Consider the following 23739-nt stretch of genomic DNA (forward strand, 5'->3'; position numbering starts at 1 on the left):
ATTTTCAACAAAACTGTTTGAGTGCAAATTTTCGGCCCTAAAAAGACCACAACTAAATATGCAAGCAGTTCAGTATTGTCTTTCAGATGCCCATAATCCCAAGTTCTGGGCCCAGGAAAGTAGAGTTCTAATTAGTCAGGGTGGGGTAAAGAAATCTTATAGCTTTTCTAATCCAACACTTTTAAAAAGTAGGTGGATTAATTAATAAGCATCTCATTCTGGTCTCTCATTTTGTAAGTAACAAAGCTGTTACCAGGATTTATTTTTTATTTTTTTTATTTTTTGAGAGGGAGTCTTGCTCTGTCGCCCAGGCTGCAGTGCAGTGGCGCAATCTCGGCTCAGTGCAACCTCTGCTTCCTGTTACCAGGAAATTTAAGTGGCGTACCCAGTATCACAAAGCATTTTCATATTTCCAGGTCCCATTATAGAATAGATAATAAATGATCAAGTTATTTTGTTCATTCGCTAATTCAATAAGTATTTATTCAATGCCTGCATATCCAAGAAACTGTTAAATGAACATACATAAGTGACAGAGCTGGGGTCAGAACACGGGTCTTCTAATGCCCTGTCCAGTGCCTTGTTCACTGCTCTGCAAGGTACACTGAAAGGTTTCTATTTCAGAGGAAGGGGTAAATGCGTGGCAATGAAGCAGAAGAGTTTTCCAAAGTGGATGTGTGTATACCTTCTTTAAAGGAAGCACATGAAAGAAATTTGTTTCAAAACACTTTACCTTGGAATTCACTTTCTAGTCCTGGCATTTTAACTATTAATGACTCTGCAAATGAAATCAGACAATTTATTGTCTAGGATGTATTCATTTATTCATTCATCAAACACGAAGATGTATGGACCACACTCTGTGTCAAGGCAGCCATGATACCGGCTCTCATAAAAATTTAAGTCCAAGAAAAAAATGAGTCTACAAATTAAACAGTAATTGGATCCCTTGGAGTGACATTATAAAACACACAGTACTTAACAGTAATAATAAAGTTCGAAATAAACCTAAAATGCCACATTTAAAATGCTTCTTCTAAGAGATTTTTGTGTTCTGAAGTCATGTGTGCCTATCACTGAAAATGACAGCAGAAATACTCCAAAAATTGTAAAACTAAAATTGGTGTGGAATTTTAGTTCACTGAAATTATAAAGTGTTCCAAAAAAGCAAAAAGCATGCTATCATTTTAACAGCTGCATTATTTCAACAGTTGTCCCCTTTACACCACTCACAATTACAGACACTCACAAATAAGGCCCTCATCTCCGTAGCAATAAGTTAGTGACTTTGCAAGCATTCAGTGAAAGCAAAATGTTTGGTTTGTTTTTTGGCTAAGTGTACTTTATGTACCCCTATTTATGCATACATGCCTATACTAAATGCTGAGCAATCATCTTTCTCCTTAAATCAGATCATCAGGAGTTCCAAAAATCACTGTTTTGTGTACTTCTTTTCTACGCCCTCTCTTTTTCTCTGTTGGAATTCCTGGTAATGATACCAGAATGTGGGCAAACCTCATTAGTCTCCCTGCTGTTTACAAGACAGGATTTATGCTCAATGTGCTGAACACAATGACACACATCACTAAATAGCTACAACTACCACCCAGGCTTTAATCTCAGAAATTTTTCACTCAGTACAAATACCTATCAGCATGGAGAAACATGGAAGAGCAATTACAGCCAACACGTGTAGTCTTTTAAGAGTACACCAATAAATACCCATTTGTGAAGGTTAATTTAATGCAACCCAGGCTGTTATCTGGAATAGTATATGTCGCCAATTCAATCCATTAAGTAATTACTAAATTCTCAGGAGGGCTCCCAGAAGTCAAATGTGGTTATTCCAGGTTCATTGCTTCTGGTCTCCCAAAGGACCATTTAGGCCAACAGCTGGGAGAGCCAACTACAAAGGTTCCCAGGCATAACTAACCATTTCATGCAAACAGGTAAATGAGTCTAAACGAGAAATAAGAGTTATCAAGTGCCTGTCCTAAGAGAAACACCAAGGGAAGCAGAAGAGAAGCACAAAAGGGGAGGAATAAAAAAGGAAAGAAAAGGCATAAGTTTGGTAAGTAAAAAAGATCTGTTCTCTCTAAAAGTGAAGTCAGAGAAATCTGGAGATTGCAAGATCTGGCTTAAAGGACACAACCTTTCAGCAGTTTCTTTAGAGAGGATTTTTCAATCATTTATAATGAAACATTAATTGTGCACCCCAAATGCCACCCCTTTGTGTTGCTGAAACTCAAAGTTTGAGTACTGCATGAATTCCTCTATTCTGCCTCCCCACTGAGATTACAGGTAACAGAGGGATCTGATAGTAATTAAGCCTTAGTAAGATGATTGCTCATAAGAGACAAGATGGAACATACCCACCCAACTCTTTCTGGCAAGCATCTCTCTCACAGAAATTATAGCCCAGTTACACAAAATGATGGCCCACTGGGGCACAGAAAGCATTAGAAAGAATGTAAAATATATTATCCTCAATAGCCTCACACATCCTCCCTCCCAAGTCAATCTTAACAGCCATAAAAAAAGAAAACACTTTTTGAATGCAAACAAAACAGATCAAATAAACAGGTGTTATTAAGGGCAGTGTGTGACTACACAACCAATGAGGATTGAAAAACATCGTTCTTTATCATAACCTAAAAAATCACATATTCCCAGGTGATGTATACCTAAAGTGTCAAATTGTATCAATTCTCTCCTTTTTTTAAATTCATACTCCCATTTTTGTCTGGTTGGAATTGTTGCTTATGATAGCTGCGGACAATACTGAGTGGAATTAGACTTAGGATCTGAATGAAATATGGGATTTGTAGTTGAGGAACTGGGCTTGGGGTTTCCTATGAAACATTCAGCAAGGCTTTAGGTTAATAGTCCAAATTGTATTGTCTTTGTAGTGGTTATTATGTTTGTCCTTATTGTTACGAGTAGGGAAGGAGGAGTATTGAGTCCTGGAATTGCCACCCACTATTGCTGTTGAGCCTGAAAAAACTAACTTTAATATGCTTGATTTTCTCACTTATAAAATGAAGATATTAATACAATATCCACATCGTAGTGTTGCCCCAAGAATTTAATGTAATCATATGTGAAAAGTACTCTGAATATTGTAGTATTAATAATAAAAGCCGTAGCTATTAAAATATAACAAGTATTCATTAAGAAAACATTCTTGAAGTTTCTACATTGTTAGACATTGAGCTAGGTACTTCAGAAACACCATGATAAATAAGAGTTTATAATCTAGTACAGTTTAGAAGTAGGGAGTTACACAGAAAAATATAATACCATGCAAAAATTGTACCACTGAGAAGTGCAAATAAGTAATATGAATGCTCAGAGAATATACATTCATTATCAAAAAATAAGTGTGTAGCCAAAATTGTCAGGTGTTATATGTAAGTATATACACAGAAGGGGTAGTTTTAGTTTTAAGGTTGGAGAATTTCACACTTCCACAATATTTTCTTTAAAATTAGAGATACACATGTATGAACCAAATCACTGATGAAATTCAAACACAAAGGTAAATATATACACCAGCTTTGGGTTTAGAACTTAAGTTAAAATGTTAACAAAATAAGAAGTAATGTTATTTTCAGACCTGGTGCTTAGGAATAATTTAAATTCTCTTCACTAACAGGATGAAGTATATTATTCTTGAATAATGTAGAGTTATTCAAAAAAAAGGTCTTTTAGAAATTCTTTTTAAATTATTTGCTACCTATCCATGTTTTCTCCAAATCTATCAGCAGCACAGAGTGAATAATTCATCAATTTATCTTGACCCTTCAAAAATGAGTGTTGTATGTGTGTGAGAGACACAGCGCGAGCGCACATGAGCAAGAGTACAACCACAGCTAATATTTAAGTACTTATTCTGTTCCAGATAATGTAAGAAAGGTAGGGAAATTAAGTCTTGACATGAATAAGTTATAATAATCATGTTACCCTAGAGTTTTATACAGTGGCCGCCTAGAGGTAAGTTTGTGGAACACAGCACTGTTCTTAGTTTAGGGAAACTAGTGTGTATTAAAACCATCAATCAAAGTAGTTTCTCCTATTTTCCCATTATAGAGAAGACCACACATTCTAGACTTCCTAATCTGATTCCAAGACTTCAAGGAATACAATTTTTAAAAATTATTTAAACATCAATATTGTTTGACTTTCCAATGCTACATCATTTGTCTTTATTATTGTCCCCATGCATAAGCAATGACCAATTCTAGGAGGTAAAGACAGAAATGCAAAAAGCAAAAATAAACTTTCTGAAGACTACAAAAAGAATGCCTTGAAAAATCTGCAATAGGAATGCATTTCTGAAACAGGACTCTAAAGGAAAAATCCTTCTTCCTTTGCATTTAAAACTGTATGACAGTTACACAAGAAAAAGAAGAGGGAAAGTTACAAGAGGAAAGAAAATGTTTGCATAGTAAATAACTGATAAAAATTATAATCCTGAATACATTTATAAAAACTGATAACAAATCAGTAAATACACAACATAGAAAAATGAGCAAATGATAAATTAGCCAAAGGAGGAAAACCAAACGGCCAACATGAAACGATGCTCAATCTCACAAGAAATCAAGGAAACACAAATCAAAGTAGCAATGAGATGCCATTTCACACTTACCAGGTTAGCAAAATTTAATAAGTATGAGAATCTGAAGTATAGGTGAAAATGTAGACTAATGGGAACTCTGACACACTGCTGGTGGGATATACTGGAGGTGTACATACTGGGAATATACTGGTGGTGGAAACTAGTATAACTATGTTGGACAGAAATTTGGCAATCCCTAATTAAGTTGTAGATACATATACTCCATGAGCCAGCAATATCACTTTTAGGTATACATCCTAGATGCTCTCTCACCAGGTATATGAGGAGACATGATCAGGAATGTCCAATGCAGCATTACTGCAATAACAAAATGCTGGATGCATCATAAATGTCAAGAGCAGAAACTAAAAATTAGGATATATTCAAAGAATGGAATACTCTGCAACAATTACAATGAACTAATTATAAGTACATCCAACAACATGGATGAATACTGAACATATGTTTAACAAGCTAATCAAATTACAGAAGGATATATATATATATATGGTACATATATATAAAACATTTATATAAAAGATGTTACCACGCAAAACAATAGCATGTATTATTTATGGATACATATACCTATAGTGAAGATAAATGCCTCTGGCAAAGGAAGAGAAAGAAAGAAATGGGGGCTTCAATTTATTCCTTTTAAAAAATTAGAAGCAAATACTGCAAAACATTAAGAACTAACAAATCTAGGTACAGGTACACACATTTGTTATATTACTGCTTTACTTTTCTGTATGATTAAAGCAATTCATTTTCTGTCAAATATGTCTGGCAATAGTGTGCTGTTCTTCTGCTGAGCTGGAAACATCTCTATCTTCTGAATCCTCATTCATCTCAAACATTTAGCATCTTCTATCATGAACAATAGCTACTGTGTGCATGACCCCACTCCACACCCAAATGGGAATCCTCTACCGCCTCTTCAGAGCAGGGGCCACACCTATATATCTTTCTCTGCCAGAGTGACTCACAATGCTTTATACACAAAAGGCCTTAATAAATGTTAAATACACAAATGAATACATAAATTCAGGGAGGCACAAGAGTAGCTCTGGCTACAGCCAAAAATAAAAATGACCCTGAGATAATAAAAATTAAAATTAAATTTTATAATAAAATTAAATAATACAATTATATTATCAAACTGTAAAACATAGATGAGGCAGAATTCACCAGTTTCAGTTTTATTGGGGATTTTAACCAAACAGTCTCACACTGATTCTTCATCTTCTCCCAAAAAGGATTCTGCCAGCAAGTCCAATTTTCACACCTAGAGAAATAAGACTTTCAGTTGTTCTCCATAAATTCATACAGGCATTTCATAATTTCACCTTCCCAGGCAAAGCCTTCCCCTCCTCCTTCCCACCTGAAATCGTGCCACTATCACACACATCTCAGTCTGGAAATCTGGTATATGAGTGTTAGGAGTGACAGGTGGGGAAAAGGGGAAGTAGGTTATTTTTGCATATCTCGTGGGCTTGCTAAATAATTAGTGGGTTTCCTAAACTCACAATATTTCGCCAGATTCATTTACTGGGAGGTAATTCCATTCTTCTTGTGGGAAAGAGTCACACAACCTATACCACTTTCTGACTGTTTAATCTTTAAGGAATCACTAGAAATGATATTCAAAAAAAAAAAAAAAAAACCTAAGAGTCACTGGACTTGAAATTCAAAGTCCAATGAATAGATGGATGAAAATAATGTAAAATAAAATATATTAAAATATAACTTTTTAATATTTTGAAAAATGTATAATCAAGATTGGAAAGAGTTTTCAGATTCATGATATGCTAAATTCTTCTAGATAAGAAACAGGTGTTTCCAGTTTGACCTAAACAAAAGCTTTTCTCTTTCCACAGTTGTAGTGATAAAGAAATACTACTTTGGCTCTCCAAAGGTCAGACAGTGATGAGGAAGGGAAACAGAGCAGGTAACTACTTCTGGAGGTAACAGAGCTGAACTGGAGTAAAAGAAAGGCTTCCTTCTATAATAAAAATTAGAAAGTTCACACGCAGACATACTAATTTTTAACCACATTCTACAGAGGTCAATTAATCCCCACGTTTAGCCCCAGGGAAGTGTTGTTTAGAGCCCAGCAGAAGTCTAGGTGGTGAAATCACCCAATTATTATTCCAACTGGAATTTTCAAAGCCTGGAAGTGTTTTCATCATGTGATCCAACAGAGACTTGTTGTAAATAAACCTGCTGTAAATAAGCTCTAAGATTTTGAAGGAAAACAATTTAAACATAACTCAATCTTAAAGGCAGACAGTAGAGAAATACCAGTGATAAGTAATTCCCAATGTGCATAATCTCATATATTTAAAAGGTTAAATGAAATAGATCTCAAAGATACAATTAAAGGCAATTAAAAATTAACCCAGGTGACATTACAGCAATCACCTCTACGTGAATTAGATTTGCTGTTTGGGGGGAAATGAATGGCTTTGAAATTACCTGTCACAGTCAATAAAGAAATTAAAGAAATGCTAGGAGGGCTTTCAAAATAGCCACGGCCTGGTGCTTTTACTTTCTGGAAGGTGACTGCTCCTGGAAAATGCTCTCAAAATTCCATATGTTATCTTGGACAGTCAGGACTAGTAAAAGTTTCTTCGTTTTTAAATTATATAAAGTAAGATACCTTCCCACTGTCAAAAGGTATCTACCTTCTGAGAATGTCCTTGTATGCTGCATACTTCCCACATTTATGTATCAATATCTTGTATTTTTATCCTAACTACTTAAAATACCAGAAACGTCTATTTGCAACCTGGAGTTTAGGCTCAGCTAATCGGGCATATTGAAGCATATTCATGCTATATTTTGGCACAAATGTCAAGATATCTAATTTTATTATTAAAATACTGTCAGAGAAAATGCTTTAGTAACTTTTTTAGTAAAGACAAGACCTTGGTGGAAAACCCTCCCAGGAATCCCATTTGGTAAAAACGCAGTGTAAATATATAAGGAGGATTCCATAGCTACCCAGAATATTGAACTCTTATGAGTAATGCACATAATAAATGTAATAAAAATAATTAAAAGAATACATAAAACAGACCGGTTTTATAAAACTTTGTTGATCATATAATTTTTTTGAGATGAAGTTTCACTCTTGTCGCCCAGGCTGGAGTGCAATGGTATGATCTGAGCTTATTGCAACCTCTGCCTCCTGGGTTCAAGTGATTCTCCTGCCTCAGCCTTCCAAGAAGCTGGGATTACAGGCGTGTACCACCACACAGCTAATTTCATATTTTTAGTAGAGATGGGGTTTCACCATGATTGGCCAGGTTGGTGTCAAACTCCTGGCTTCAGGTGATCCACCCGCCTCAGCCTCCCAAAGTGCTGGGATTACAGGTGTGAGCCACTGCGCCTGGCCAGTTGATCACATAATTCTGATCTTCCTTAAAATTGGTTTCCATTAATTTAGATCTCTAAATATATATATAGTCATCACTTTGCAAAAATGCAATAGAATTTTGGCTATCATTATATGCCACTTACTTTAACACACTTTTCATTTAGTCCTTTTAACCCCATAAAGTAGATACTATTATCTCAATGATGACAAATGTAGAAATTGAAAGTCAGTGAAGAAACTCTTTAAGATGCCACACATATCTTTTTTTTTTTTTTTTTTTTTTTGTGCTGTTGCATCCCTAGGACCTGGCATCATATCAGGCACTATGTGTCAAATAAATGTAACTGTCCATGTAGCTGATAAGTACCTTTCTGACCAGGATTTGATCAAAGGCTTATTTTAACTCAGAGTCTCTCTTTTTCCAAATGAAGGAAGGGCATGCAAGTTTTTTCTAAAATGTGGGCTATATGGTTTCTGTGGCTCTGCCATTATAGTCAGAAAGCTGCCGCAGACAGTATATAATTGAATGAGTGCAGTTGTGTTACAATAAAACTTTATTTATAAAACCAGGCAGACAGTCCACAGTTTGCTGACCCCTGATACTGTCACTAAGATAACTCAAGAGACAAAAACTCCTATCAGTATTTGTATTTTATTGTCCAACTAAGAAAGACTCAGAACTGATAACTCTGGGTGATGGGACTTGGGATATTTACTGATTTTGTCATGGTTAAATCATTGTGCTTCATTGATGCAACAGAGAACTAACTATGCATGATTTGCCTTTCTTAAGCCTGGCTATGAGGAAGTCAGACCTCACAAAACAGTCTCCTCAGAGAATCCTCTACTCTGAAATACAAAAACTATCATTCATCATTTTATAGAAATAAAGAACGAGGAGTCCCTCAGCAAATGATAATTCCACATGGTAACATAGGCCCATGTAGTGGAAGGGATCAGGGCAGGACCCCAGGAGAATTATCTAATTCAAGTCCTGTGATGAAATTGTCCAGCTTCCCTGTGTTAAATGGAGATGATACAAACACCAAAAAGCTGCATAGTTATGAAAAAGTATTTAAAAAAAAAACCTGAAGTCCTCTATTAACATGTAGTTTGACTGACAATTTATGACCAAAACAGACAATCTTAAGTAAAGGTTTGGAAGGATCTAGATCCACACCTATCTTTTAAGAAATTATTCCTGGCACAGGCAAGAATCTTGCCCCAGATTAAAAAAAAAAATCTCATAGAAAAATCAAAAATAGCCATTTAAAGTATTAGAATCAAAAGTCACAAAAGATAGCTCCTTCTTAAGAGGGGTAGACTAGTTCATATTTTCTCCATGGTTGCGAGAGAAGCAACACAAAATATAAAGATTTAAACTCCTTCCCTCAAAAAAAAAAAAAACAAAAAAAAAAAAAAAACGGAACAAAACGATGAAAAAACAACGTGCCACAGACCGTTAGAAAAAGTGTATGGTGATGAAAACTATCAATTTCTTTAAAGTCAAGGCCAATGTCTTTCTTATGAATTATTCTATTTATTTCTACTCTCTCTCCTTCAAAAGGTTTTGCAAGGATCAAACAAGATATATATGAAAGTGCTAGGCAGACCATTAGGCCCTATAAAAATGTAAGTGGCATTATAATTATCATCATCATTATTATTACATTGATCAACTGAACTACTGCTGTACTAACAACCAATTTTTGGCACACAAACTTTTTAATAAGACCCTAATCTCCCAGAAGGCAGATGTTTCCAGTCTAACACAGTGAAAAGCACCCCTGTTAGGAACATGGCCACTCAAATGCCTTTTGAATTTAATTGAAATAGACCCCAGAAAACAGAAGTTTAAATGAATAAATAAAAAGACAAATCTAGACTCACGATGCACATTAGCTCTGAGTTTTAAGTTGATTGCCTTTTTGCCTCTTCTATTTTAGCAGGTCATTATGTTATAAATACCCTCTTCCTCCCTGTGTTTCAGCCCCATATAATATCAGATGCAGAAAAAAAAAACATAACTCTTTGTTACTGTTAGTTATGGGCATAAACTCTCACTGAAAAAGTGACCAAGAGAAAGACAGCACAACGATCTGGGGGAGGGAGGAAGGAAAGGAGAGACCGGTACAGCCAGAAGAGAAGATAGAGCCAAGAAAGAAGGTCGAAGTGGAATACAGAGGACAAGTTTCCAAAGACCTGGGAATCTGTTAAGAGATATCCCCTGCAGTCAGGGGCGGTCAGTAAAGTGCTGAGCCTTGACTTTGTAATGTGTGTATTCCTATAATATCAGTTATACAAAATTATAAAAGTCAGACTAATAAAATAGACAACTCAGAAAATTTTAAATTCATAAACACATCGCTCAAGGCAATCAGAATGCAGTCTTCTTAGGATACAAGCAAAGGAGAGCGCATTCTCTTGGTACCAAATTGGTCCCCTCAATACTTCATGTTAGTTTTCACTCCTCCTTGACTAACACCATCTAGTTTTAAAAAGCACATTCCTTCATAAGGGATCACTTTTAAAACTTGGGATCCAGCTTGCTGTATTAGGGAAATACAAATAGACATGTTCCAAAAATGGTATTGCCATTGATCATTGGTATAATATGGATACTAGAATTTCAGAGTGGTAAGCGTATTTTAAAAAATGGAATGTAACTGCCTAAAAGTCCATACACAACCATGAGTTTAGCCCTTTCAACATCCTTAGGGAATGAACTTTAATTCTGGAGCATTTCCACTGGACCTCTAGCAGGCAAAGGCAGTAACTTTTAATTCTGGTCATCTCCCCCATTCCCTTTATTAAAAATGTGAAATACTTCTAGGAGGAGGAGGAAGTTGGAGCAAAAATACAGAAAAATACAAGATCACAAGTACAAAGTTTTCTAAGTGCACATTACTTGAAATTCTCATAGTCTGGTCATTTATTTTAAGTAGTGACTCTATGTGGGTCCCAATATCACACTGAAAAATCATACAGAAAGTCATATCCTTCACTAAAGATGTATGTTTAGCAAGACAAAAAACAATAACATATTGTCTTACAGTATCATTTTCTGATGCAAATATTGTGTTTCTTTCAAATGTGATATTTAACACGCCCTAACGCGTAATACTTTTGTAGCCATTACCCTTTTAAAATCCCCTATCGAATATGGTATCACTATGCTAAAGGACTGTCCATTCTATCTTGTTCACTCTTCTGTTTGAAATTGCTAATATAATTTCCCTCACTTCTGGTCATGTTTGTTTTTAAAAAACTCACTATTAATCTTATTTTTCCTTTAAGTAAAAAAATCATTACCCTGGGATACCAAAAGAGCAGCTTCTGCTCTTCACGTTTAAAAAAAAAATACTGCTTGTCCACTATGCTTGTCTTAGAAAATTTAGAAGTCTCACTAAAGAGCTGAGGAGGAAAACTGCTGGGAATGCTCACAGATACCTGATTTTACAAGTTTTTGTGGAAAGAGCTCGCCTTTAGATTAGTGTTACTCAGTGTTTATGAGGGTTGTTTGTCAAGGCAAAAATAAGGTACCTCCTCCCCACAAATTAAAGAATCAAGTTACAATCCATTATTTCATTTCTGATTGTTTTTCTTTGTATTAAGTGGGAAAGTGGATACTGGATAAAAGTTCCCCGAGCTAAAAGACTCCACATTAAAGGCTCCAATTAGCTATAAATCAGTTGTCTTTCCTACTGGGGGAGAACAAGAGAGAAAAGAGAGAGGGGGTAGTTAGGGAGTAAGAGAACTGGAAGAGCTTCCAAATTAAATTCTGAAAAACGTACCTATTGCATACCTAAAATTTCTTTCAGAGGCTGTTAGAAAAATCCCATCAAAAATAAGACTAAAATCAAACCTTCCCAAATCTGAGGGTTAGGTCTTTTCTCCTGTGTAGATCTTCCATTTTAAGACCTTTAAAAAGAGCCTGAAGAGGTTAGAGACCCTCATAAAATAAAACTTCTAAGCTGCATGCTTTCCCTGCTCGTTCCTAAACCCAGACAAGTGCCACACATTGGCACTATTGTTATGCAAACAATGCCTAAAAGGTTATAACCATTAACGACCTCTCATTAAAACGGCTTTGAAAAATTTGTCACACCATCTAAAAAAGCTAGCAGGTACATTAAATCCATCTAAATCGACATTCAAAACACAAATCGCCCTGATTTGTAACCTAAAACTCAATGCAAGTAAAATCTCAATATTCTGATGTTGTTTCTTGTATATCTCATTCAACCACTAAGCCAGATGCAAACAATTTACTTCTCTACAAAATTTATCTTGTAAAAAAGCACGATGGAATACATCTTTAATCAACCTTTAACCATATGCATGTGCGTCTATGCGTTTGCGTTAATTGGGAGAAGTTGAGTGTAGAAATGTACCGAAAGGACTAGAAAATCAAACCAGAGAACTACAAAATGAACTCCAAGAAACGTGGTTTTCAATCCCATCTCTCTCTCACCACCTCCCTCAAAATGTTGTAACATTACAATACCCCTACGTTTGTAATCGATCATTTTTTTTCTATGTCGAATTTGTGGAAAGTAAATTCATTTTATATTAGGTAGCAGACGCATATTCTTTTTTAGGCGATGCAACAACAAAAATCCTGCTTAGCAAACCCAAGATGTCAACGTTCGTTATAAAAAAAAAAAAGTAAGTTCTTCAGTTCAAAACCGAACATGCTAACAAATATTAAAACTTTTTAAGTTTCCCAGGGAAACTGCCGCTGCCTACAAAATTCACATGAAACGCTGACGTTGGAGTTACTGTACTTATCAGTCAGGTTTCCGTGAAATTTGTCAAACCGGCCAGAGCGCTGGTGTCTTGACAATTCCTTACGGGAAAGCCCCTCAGCACCCTCCGGGCTGTGGAGGACCTGATTGGGACCAACAGCCGAGGGGCCCGGAAGGCGGAGGACCGAGAGGCGACGGCCAGGCTGCGTGGCCAAGCTGACGGGGAACCCCGGCCTCCATCTGAGGATACTAAGCGGTTCCGACGCCTTCCCCCGCGGCAGTCGGGACCGGGAGAATCGGACAGAAACCAGCCTCAGAGTCCGGGGCAGGAGCCGTTGACGGCTGCCCCTCAACGCTGCGCTTCGGGTTGGGTTAAGTCCCCAAGGCGTCCTCAGACCACGGCGGGGCTTCAAACGCCCCAGTCCCGAAGACAGGCAGGGGGTCCCTCTGCTGCGCCGGGATGACAGGCTGGCCCCGACGACCCCGGCCCCGTCCCGCAGCCCTCACCCGCTGAAGAGATCGGGGAAACCGAAGAAGGTTCTAGAAAGTCTCCGTGGACGACGGGCGCTGGGCGGCCGCTTACCTTGGTGTACTTAATTTCGAGATTGGGCGTGGGCGACGGCAGGAGGTGCAGCGACGCCATGAGGGCGGCGGGGTCGGCCTTCACCTCGCCGGGCATCTCTATCTTGCTGGAAGTCATGGTGGCGGGCCGGGTGTCCCTAGCCCGCGGCGTGGGGCAGTGCGGGCTGTGCGCGCGGTCCGCGGCCCGGGGGCGCGCTCGCCTGTATATAGGCAGGTGTCAAGCTGGGGCTCTTCTTATTGGACGTGAGGGCCGAGGCGCGGGGGGCTGGTCCATCCTACCTAGGACGCCCGGCGCAGCCTCCATTTACATAAAGCCCGCGCCGCGCGGCCGGGACGCTTGGCGCCCACGGTCAAGTCCGCCCGGCGCTCCCGCCCCCCGGCCGCGGAGACCAGCCCACGCCGCCTCCACAGTCCTCGACGGTGGGAGCGGAACTTGCGCCGCGGCCCGCGGGCCTCGGCCAGCCGGACTTGGTCTCCGGGTCCCTGGGTCAGAGTCGGCGGGAGGCGCACAGCGGCCGAAGTCGAGCGAGGGTCGTGGCCCCCGGAAGCGGAGCTGGCAGGGGCTGGCGGGGACCGGAGCGGCCCGGTGCTGCTTCGGAGTAGAGAAAGGCCAGGAAAGTCCAGGCTGCGGAGGGCGGCTCCCAGCTCGCCCACGTTCCCTCCCATCCCCGTCCCAGGACCCACCGAACCCCGTCCCCCTTCCTTTCCGGAGACCCGGGAGGGCGTCCTCCGTTCTCCTCCTCCGGGCAGGGGCGCCAGGCTCTCGGCAGCTACGCCCTCTCCCCCGACCCCCCGACTCCCCTCAGCCGGGCCGAGGTGCATGGTGGCCAGAGGGTCAGGGAGAGGTGGCAGTGGGTGCGAGTCCCCCTCGCCTCGGGCTCAGAATGAGGATCCCTGCGAGCGGGTCAGCGCGGGGCGGCCCTTGCCAGGCGTCGCCCGCCCAGTTGCTGCCCTCTGCCGGCCGGGACCGCCCGGGCGGCTTGCGCTGTGGCGGGAGGATATGGGCAGTGATCATCCCCGGCTCCTCCGAGGAGCTGCATGCTTCGTGGGCTCCTTTAGTTCTTCTCGGATCCCCTCTTCCGGCTGTTTCCCCTCCTCACCCAGCACACCCACAGAAACACTATTTTGTTTTTCTGTTGTTCCTTACACGCTAAGAGCTATCGTCCCGCCAGACCTTAGGCTCATTTTACTGTCCCTTTGGGATTGAGTTTCCATCTCCCCCCTAATCTAAGTGTTTCCAAAGTCTAACAAGCTGCCCTCTAGTCTGTGGATCGGCCTGCAGGTGTAAACCAAGAACCTAGAGACCCTGCCTCAGAATGGGCTTTGGACTCCGTGGACTAAATCAAGGCCGCATGGAAAGACCTGCATAAGTCCCTTCCCTTCCTTACTCCTCACTCCAAATGTAAGCTTGACAGGGGCCTACAGTGTTGATAAACGCTTTTTCTACACTACCAAGCAACACTGTGATTCTCGTCTTTTTGTTTTGTTTGAAGAGACAGGGTCTCACTCCTTCACTCAGGCTGGAATGCAGTGGCACCGTGACAGCTCACTGTGATCTTGAACTGGGCTCAAGTGACCCTACCACCTCAGCCTCCCAAAGTGCTAGGATTATAGGCATGAGCCACTGCACCCGGCCTGATTCTCATCTTAAATGCCATTTTTAGAGCCGCTGGAGTCCCATTTCTTGGGCGTTAAGAAAACATTAAGCATCAGCCAGAAAACATCTTTCCTTAGATACTTTGAGTAACTAAAACTGCCTAATGCTCAGCGCTCAGATGCTAAGCAATAGTGAAAACAGACAAAAATATTTCATTTTAGTATTAGGTTTATAGAAATAAGTTCCAGCCTCTCAGAACCCAAAGTGACCTGGGTGAATCGTTTTCATGGAGAAACTACAGACCTTAGCTTGGGCAGTCGAGGGATCTGTACTCAGGGAATTTCTATGGCCAAAAATTATGACTTAATAACAGTGTATGCTCATAAGATATACTTTTATCAAAGCCTTAGAAGGTTAGAGATACAATTGAGAAATAAAAAAGTAAAATCTTAGAGTTCATTGGGGAGAAAGAGAGGGTTCCAGCAAGGGGGAACAGTGATACCTGTGGAAAAACTTATCACTAGTTATGAGAGGCTGTGGGGAAAACATGAAAAAGAGCCATAACAACATGAGCTGAGTGCTCCAAGGAGGACGCCTACTCCCTGGGAAAGCTGACCTTTGGCTGGGTCTTAAGGGAGAAGGGAGGCTTCAACAAGAGCAAAAAGAACACTATAGAAAAGGTATAGAGGCTGGGCACGGTGGCTCATGCCTGTAATCCCAGCAGTTTGGGAGGCCGAGGCGGGTGGATCACTTGAGGTCAGGAGTTCAAGACCAGCCTAACCAACATGGTGAAACCCCATCTCTACTAAAAATACAAAAATTAGCTGGGCCTGGTGGCAGGTGCGTGTAATTCTAACTACTCGGGAGGCTAAGGCAGGAGAATCGCTTGAACCCAGGAGGTGGAGGTTGTAGTGAGAGGAGATCTTGCACTCCAGCCTGTCTCCCTTGTGCCTTCCTCAGTTCCTAAAACAGCGTAGAACACATAATAACTATTTAATAAGAATTTTTGTTGGTTGATTTGAGCAAAAGACAGAGCACTTTTGACAACTTCCACCGTAAGTGAAAGTAACTTCCTTCACTGCCTGATTAAAGAACATTTTCTCCTCTTGATCTTAAACTTCGTTTTGCTTTTCCCCATCGGTGTTTTTTTGTTTTTTTGTGTTTTTTTTTTGAGACAGAGTCTCGCACTGTCATCCAGGCTGGAGTGCAATGGTGTGATCTCGGCTCACTGCAACCTCCGCCTCCCAGGTTCCAGCGATTCTCCTGCCTCAGCCTCCCGAGTAGCTGGGATTACAGGCATCTGCCACCACACCCAGCTAATTTTTTGTGTTTTGGATAGAGACAGGATTTCCCTATGTCAGCCAGGCTGATCTCGAATGCCTGACCTCATGATTCACCCACCTCGGCCTCCCAAAGTGCTGGGATTACAGGTGTCAGCCACTGTATCTGGCCAAAAAAGATATATATTTTGTCTATATTCAGCTCGTGACAGCAGCCACTTTTTGTTCAAGCCCCCTTTTTTGTTTTTTTGAGACTGTCACCAAGGCTGGAGTGCAATGGCATGATCACGGCTCACTGCAACCTCTGCCTCCTGGGTTCAAGCGATTCTCCTGCTTCTGCCTCCTGAATGGCTAGGATTACAGGCACTCACCACCATGCCTAGCTAATTTTTGTATTTTTAGTGGAGATGGAGTTTCACCATGTTGGCCAGACTGGTCTCGAACTCTTGACCTTAACTGATCCACCCTCCTCGGACTCCCAAAGTGCTGGGATTACAGGCATGAGCCACCATGCCCGGCTGTTGTTCAAGCTTTTTAAATCAAGGTAGGGACAAGATGTAGCGGAAAAGAACAGTGAATTATAAATGCTTCTTTGGTGTTCATCTTCTTGGTTTCAGTTTGTAAGATTTACAAGGCTATTACTTCCAAGGCTGCCTTAACACCTCTTCTCACATTCTTATTTCCTCTTCTCTTTCTTTTATCATCTAGTTTTAGTGTTTTCTCATATCCTCTACAGATTTCACAATAGTTAAGAAGACAGTCTTTGGCCAGATGCGGTGGTTTACACCCGTAATTAGGCCAAGGTGGGAGGATTGCTTGAGGCTAGGAGTTCAAGACCAGTCTGGACAACATAGCAAGACCCTGCCTCTACCAAAAAAAAAAAAAAAGTATCCAGGCGTGGTGGTGCATTCCTATAGCCCTAGCTACTCAGGAGGCTGAAAGAGGAGAATCGCTTGAAGCAGGAGTTCAAGGTTATGGTGAGCTATGATCACGCTACTGCACTCCAGCCTGGGTGATGGAGTGAGACCCTGTCTCTAAAAATAAAAAGACAGTCAACTACCTTCAGATTTCTAACAATTTGAATTTCAGCCTTTTCCCCCCAATTTGGCTAAGAAACTGTTTTTTTCCCACCTTTACAGTGTTTCTCCTCCCACCCCCCCCATTCTGTAATTATTTATTGCTTAGGATACATCTTGTTTGAAACCCCTTGCATAAGGGAACCTAAGCTGCAGCATGCTGTATTTATTTCCTTATGAAAACAATTTATTAGGCCTGGTGGAGCCAATATCCTGGAGTTGCAGAGGAGAAAAATAAATTCTTGCCTCATATTTCCTCACCTAAATAATAGAATGCAAAGCTGTAATTTTAAGGCATCAGCTTTATGTGAAGTTTGACTTTAAGTTATGAAACCATAACAGTTTAGGTTTCTTGTTAGCTGCAGTTAAGGGGAGGAAAGTATTTGTTAAGTTGAGAACTAGTCTTTAGAAATCAATGAAGGGAACTAAATGCAGCTCAAAGATCCCTCTCAAAGAAGATGCACTTGATTTTGACAGTAACCGAATGTCCAGCTTGAATGTCAAGTTTCTATGTTTAGGGGCTGTTTCAGCCTCAGGTGGCCCTGCTTAATTGCTTTCCTGTTCCCATTACTAACCATGATGACAGCCTACCTTTCCTAACAGATACACTTGCATTTTAATTTATCTTCAAAAATAAATCACACATTATAGCATTCCCCTCTTCTGGGCTAATTGAATCAGTTCCTTAAATGTCTCTACATCTAATGATTTGAAAGAGGCACATTGTTTGAAATATTTAAAAAATTAGGGCCCTCAGGTTGTATGCAGAATGATCTCAGTGCTTATTTCAGATATAAGTGTTTCCTAATGATCTCATTCATCTCAAATGGGATATGCCTGGCCACTTTATTTGAAATGTTTCCTGAAAACTCTAACAGGAAAGCTTAATGCAAAATATATTTATAGAGAAATGGTATTTAATTTATTAACAAAAGCTTATAAAGAGCTTTACATATTTTTATCCAGAAATGCTTAATGAAGTATTTGGGACCCATTATGAAAACTTCTATAAAATAAATCCACTTATATTTTTATTTAACCTGTATATTAACTTTTTATGTGAGATCTAAACTCTCATTTAATTATCCTTTTCCTTCTAACATCCAGAAGAAAAGAGGCTGAGACTGTGGTATTTATTAACCATAAAAATTCTCTAGATATTAAGTTCCTCATTTCTTGATATGGCCTCTGGTCACTATATTCTATGAGAAGAGGTATTTGGAGTTGCAGGGAGTAGAGTCCTAATTGGTTATGACTCAAAAAACTATGTTTTGATACAAAACACAGTTCTTTTCTTTTAAAATATACCCTCTACTTTTCAGGGACCCCGGAGACTATTTTAAACATGGGAACTAGATTTGCCTTTGTTGTAAGGCCCAGTTCCATTTCGTATATGTTCGAGAAGCTTCAATTTGGGTACTGGGATGAGCGCAGTACTTCATCAATAATCACACTTAACAGACAGGAAGAAATTAAAATTCCAGCTGCACCGCCTTTTCTGAAGGGCCTGAGGGAAAAGGCATTGGCGCCCCCTGCAGTTGATGGTGTGTATGTGCAACTGAGTATTGTCCATTCAAATAGCTTGGATTCAATGTATTTTTATCTGATACTGGTGAGAAATCCTTAAGAGATGTTATCATTTAATTTGAATTTGTCTGGAGAAAAAAAATCTCCTAGAGTCAGACAAATTTTAGATTTTAGTTAGTTTAGGAGGACTTTCTTTTGACTTACAGGAAAAGAACAAAAGTGTTTCTTAGCCAAATTTACCGTAGAAAGTGCAATACTGAGAACACTATGGTCCCACTCACATAGTGTTCAGAGCACTCTGTCACAGAGGAAGTTGCATGAGTGTGTCTCAGATTGGAAGCTACTGTTTTTATCTTGTGGGTGAGGAAGAATTATTAATAGACAGATTCCAGAATTTATTTCTCTTCTCGCTCAGTTAAGGACTTGGCGTGTAACTAAGTTGTCTGCTTTTTTCTTTATTTCACATTTCTTAGCTTTCCTTTTTCCTTTTACCCTTCTAAAATCCGTCAATTCTACAAATAACTCCTGTTATTATTAGGTTGGTGCAAAAGTAATTGCGAGTTTTGCCATTTAAAAGTAGTGGCAAAGGCCTCAGTTACTTTGGCATCAGCCTAATACTTAACATAGGACCCTCCGATTCCTAAGCTTCCTCCCCAAGTGCATCTGCGCTTATACAGCCACTCAACTCACAGGATCTTTGGACATAAGGAATTCTCACATGAACTTTGGCACTATTCGGGGCAGGGATCTGTATTTATATTCATTAGAAAATGAGGCTAAGTGAACTGTCTCTCTCTTTTTACATGCTGAAATGGGCCACTGAAAAGATAACGAGGAACACTTTAGACGTCCTGACAACAGAGGAGGCATGGCAGCCTCTTTTGTCTCAACCAAACGGTTTGCTGTGTGAAAGGCATAGAGTAAAACTGGGAGGCATTTAGGGCTGGAATAGGTACCCAATTTGGACATCTACCACCAAATGGCAAGGAGCGGTCTTGCTTCAGGCTGTATAACCCCACTTTCAGAGCATCTGTGTTTTCCTGACTGCAGTTCCTAAACCTGGATTTTTTTTCTCTGTCAGTCATCTAAGTTCAATTGAACAAATATTCATTGAGCATATACTATGTGCCAAGCATTGACAAAGAGTCTATGAAGAACCCAACGGAAGTTTGTGGCACATCCCTACCCTCAAATTCACAGTGAGGGTGGAATGACAGTAACCAAATCTGTGAAAATATTCACATGAGACAGGAAAGAAGTCAGAATATCCAGTGTACAATGAGAGTGAAAGAGGATGTCTAAAAGGGGACAGCCCATTCACAACCCACACACAACCCACGCACAAATATTTTTGGGGGGGCCTCCCATGGGCATTTATAATCTTCTAAGTGCTCCGAAGAACATGTGTCACAAAAGATGAAGAGAATATTTTCCAGAACATAGCCCAACAAAGAACTTCTTTGACATTTTTTAGTGTAAAGGTAACTGACGGTATCTACCAAATTAGCAATTTGTAAAACTGGAATTTCTAAAAGCAAATACTTGGAGCTGAGATTACCTCCCACTTCCCAAATTCGAGTTATATGATCTCAAGTATAATACCCTTTGGTATAGACCTAGCCAGAAGAGATAATAGAGGTGAAAACAAGGGCAGCTTATTTTTTTTCCATTAAAAGCATTATATATAACACTATGTCATGTTTCTAGTGCATACACACCTACTGTAGAGAGGTGTTGCCACCTACTGTTGTTTAGTCAGGGGATCAGACAGTCATGGAATAGACCGGTGGTTTTCAAACCAGGTTCCAATTGTAATTTAGGGAGCTTTACAAAATACGGATGCCTGGTCGCGCCTCCAGAGATTTCAATAAGTTTAAGAGGGAGCTTAAGGGATTGATATTTTAAACAAACTTTCTGATGTCTAGTAAGGCACAGCCTGGTTTGAGAACCACTATTTAACCCCCAGAAGGTTAACCATGTGGGATTACTTGAATCCACTCTAAACCTCTGGATTGGGCAGATGGATTCTGTGCCTTTCCACTTCGTAGTGCTCTTTGATTTGCTGTTTTTAATTTAGTATTTGAAAAACACATCCAGCCTCAAATGGATTGACCTTTCTGCTAATGTATTTCACCTAAATTAGCAGAGGCAATTAGCTAATTTATATTGGAATTGTGCACTTTCCAGTTCACATTTATCAACTCTTAAATGCTTGATCTGGTGTTGCAGTTTAAATTTTTTATTATTACCCTTTAAATCTGAAGTAATGTCTTACATCTAATTAGCCAAACTTACATATTCAATTAATAGATTCATTATGGGCTAATGAATATGGAGGCAGCACTAGGGCAACATCTGCCTGCCAGTTGAAATGACTGAAACTTTTCTGCTCTGAAGAAAGGAAAGAGTCTGTTCTATAACTTAAATAGCTTGAATTTTCCGTTTTAACATTTCTGAGTACTATACTGCTCTTAAGGAGTTTTACGGACCTGCCAAGATAGGAAAGTCAATATGCTGTCCAGAGAAACCTGCCCTTGTAGAGGAATATGAAATTCAAAATTGCAAAGAAAAAAAAAACACATCTGAAGACATTTTTTAGTATAAAAATGTACAAATCTAGATGGTCACTCCAGATTATGGAGTTTTTCCTAACTTGTGTTTTTCATAACAAATGCTTGAGAAAAAAACTAAATGAGAAAATTAATATCACAAACTAAACAAAATGTTTAGTATACCTTAGGATCACTCCAAAACTCACTTGATTTCATGATTTAAAGATATGTCCAGACATACTTTCAATAATTTAATGTTCTATGGTCAGTGATTTTTGGAATCTAGATAATTCAGAGATCTAAAATGAATTTATGTAATATAATCAGTTATTAACATTCTGGCATTTTATTTCTCTGGTTATAAAGAAATAGTCATTTTTAGTAATTACAAAAAGCCACGCACTTCAGGAAAGGTGGGTGAGAGCTAGAATTCACTTGAAAAACTATTTTTAAAGATGGCAAGACTATGGGGAAAATAATCAGAAATCATTTTCAAAGTATGTGATATCTTCGACATCAAAACAGGAGTTGAACAAGTCACTTTGGCTTGATGTCTGCAATGTGACAGAAAGAGGATTTGAGGTCGTGTATGTGCTACTCTACTGAGGCATGAAAAGTTTGTTGTTGATTTTTACACTCCTTACGTTCAAGGTGACACTTGGATTATAAAAAGACTACATTTCTTACCATGAATTATACAGATGCAAAGTGCCAATATCCTTGTGTCAAGTGCACTTTATCAAACATTCTAAAATATGAATTACTGCTATATTCATGTGTTTGATATTGAGGGCCTCTTATGTGCTTAGCACTGGCTAGATACCCTGGGGTTATGAAAAAGAAAACATAAATTCTTCTTATGGCTGAAGAAATTTGCAATTTGATTGTCATAATAAAAGTCTTCATAATTGACTTTACAAATACACCTATGCCCACAAGATTAGATTTACTGTGTTTTAACTGTGTTTTACCCTTTTCAGTATCTATAAAAAAAAAAGTACACATGTTAGTAAATCTTCCCCATGCTGCTCTCACTAGAAGTAAGGAGCACAGGAAATGAAAACAAAAGACAAAAAAACATGGCACCTGGTGTGCTCAGGGGGACTGGCAGGGGAAGGTATAAGTAGTAGCACCTGAGTAGGAAGTGTATCCGCCCTGGTACTCATGCCATAAAGGGCCCTGCAGTTATAAATACACAAAAAGCAAATTTAATAAGGAATACATGGGACCATCTGTCACTTGCGATCTGACACAGGCTGTTTCAGATGTGTGCATCATCTCTAACCCTAAACAATCAGTGTCACAACTAACACTGTTGAGGCCCCAAGGAAGCGCTCTTCCTCATCTCTGGTCCTGTGTTCAGAAAAAGAAAGACAGCATCCTTTGCAGGGAATACTGGGAAGATCAGTGTGTCAAGCAGCTGGCATCATTAGAGTGTGGGGTGTCACCATTTGAGCAGTGCGAGTACGAAGGTGAAAGACACATTAATGACCTTATCACGTCCTTCCTCTCAGATAGCATGAATGTACCCAATTCTTCCAGAGTGGGAGAACTGTTTCTCAGAGGTGCTATGCTGAGTGTCTAGATTTTCTTGCTTCTCTTTGTGTTTTAGTTGCTGGTTTCTGGGGTAGTCTCAAATTAACATGGTCTTCTCAATAGCTCTGTGTGGTGACTGAGGAATATTCTGCAATATTAAACAATAAAATATTCTTACATTTTTATATATGTAGATCTAGACATAACATGTGTGAATTTGACCTTTTACATTGGCAACTGGGTTACACATTAAACTCTAGAACTGCTAATAGTTCTATTCTTATAAAAATGTTTAAAAGAAGTACTTACATTTTAAAAAACTGAATAAATAACATATTTTAATAATTGTATTTAAAAGTTTGATAATTATTAATTTTCGTTTCTATTTTGCCTTTTAATTTTAATAAAAATTTTAAATATTTTAGAAAAAATAACTTTAAAAACTATAAGAGAAATAATATAATGTTTCTATTTTTAATTAATTCACATTGCTGATGAAAATATATTCATATTTGTATACTTCAAATATAATTCATTTTTTAAAGATCCTTTAAAATATTACTGTCAGTATCACCAAACTATGTGGAAACCTTGATTATAACAATATTGTGATTTGATTAAATAAATGCAACAATTGCATTTTATCAAATAAATATGTAATTTATGAGTTACGTATATGTTTATTTTATTACTTACCCTAACATTGCTGGCACATCAGCAGAACAATAGGACATACACAGTCATAATTAAATTCAGCAGTCTTGATATTTTGTTTTCAGTCAAGTAAAAAGTATAGCTTTACATATTTAAACATTTTGCCACCATGAAGCTCTATTTG

At 39.1% G+C, this 23739-nt stretch overlaps 1 protein-coding gene and 1 long non-coding RNA gene across 4 annotated transcripts in view, besides 3 other annotated features; one reads left to right on the forward strand and one right to left on the reverse strand.

Annotated features, from left to right (window-relative positions):
• ALDH1A2 (aldehyde dehydrogenase 1 family member A2) overlaps nucleotides 1–13512 on the reverse strand; it is a 112283-nt gene extending 98771 nt beyond the window's left edge. For 2 of the 3 annotated variants that reach the window (NM_170696.3, NM_003888.4), the window contains exon 1: nucleotides 13335–13512. In NM_170696.3, coding sequence (NP_733797.1) covers nucleotides 13335–13451 — 117 coding nt within the window. In that variant the 5' untranslated portion in view covers nucleotides 13452–13512. Of the gene's footprint in view, nucleotides 1–5812; nucleotides 5910–13334 lie in introns of all 3 variants that reach the window. The other variant, NM_001206897.2, reaches the window with a different exon arrangement.
• Nucleotides 12530–13049: an enhancer, noted in NCBI's record as "H3K27ac-H3K4me1 hESC enhancer chr15:58356927-58357446 (GRCh37/hg19 assembly coordinates)". NCBI's record gives its function as "activates a minimal SCP1, AML or CMV promoter by ChIP-STARR-seq in primed H9 embryonic stem cells {active_cell/tissue: H9 hESC(primed)}" and the evidence as "EXISTENCE:reporter gene assay evidence [ECO:0000049][PMID:30033119]".
• ALDH1A2-AS1 (ALDH1A2 antisense RNA 1) lies at nucleotides 13026–20506 on the forward strand. The gene is made up of 3 exons (NR_147215.1): nucleotides 13026–13543; nucleotides 14616–14735; nucleotides 18609–20506. It is a non-coding gene; the product is annotated as an ALDH1A2 antisense RNA 1 (long non-coding RNA).
• Nucleotides 13050–13569: an enhancer, noted in NCBI's record as "H3K27ac-H3K4me1 hESC enhancer chr15:58357447-58357966 (GRCh37/hg19 assembly coordinates)". NCBI's record gives its function as "activates a minimal SCP1, AML or CMV promoter by ChIP-STARR-seq in primed H9 embryonic stem cells {active_cell/tissue: H9 hESC(primed)}" and the evidence as "EXISTENCE:reporter gene assay evidence [ECO:0000049][PMID:30033119]".
• Nucleotides 14178–14367: a silencer, noted in NCBI's record as "silent region_6477". NCBI's record gives its function as "represses an Ori minimal core promoter by ATAC-STARR-seq in GM12878 lymphoblastoid cells {active_cell/tissue: GM12878}" and the evidence as "EXISTENCE:reporter gene assay evidence [ECO:0000049][PMID:35858748]".
• Nucleotides 20507–23739: the final 3233 nt, after the last annotated feature.

This window comes from Homo sapiens, chromosome 15 (genome assembly GCF_000001405.40).
Source record: "Homo sapiens chromosome 15, GRCh38.p14 Primary Assembly".
Lineage (NCBI taxonomy): Eukaryota > Metazoa > Chordata > Mammalia > Primates > Hominidae > Homo > Homo sapiens.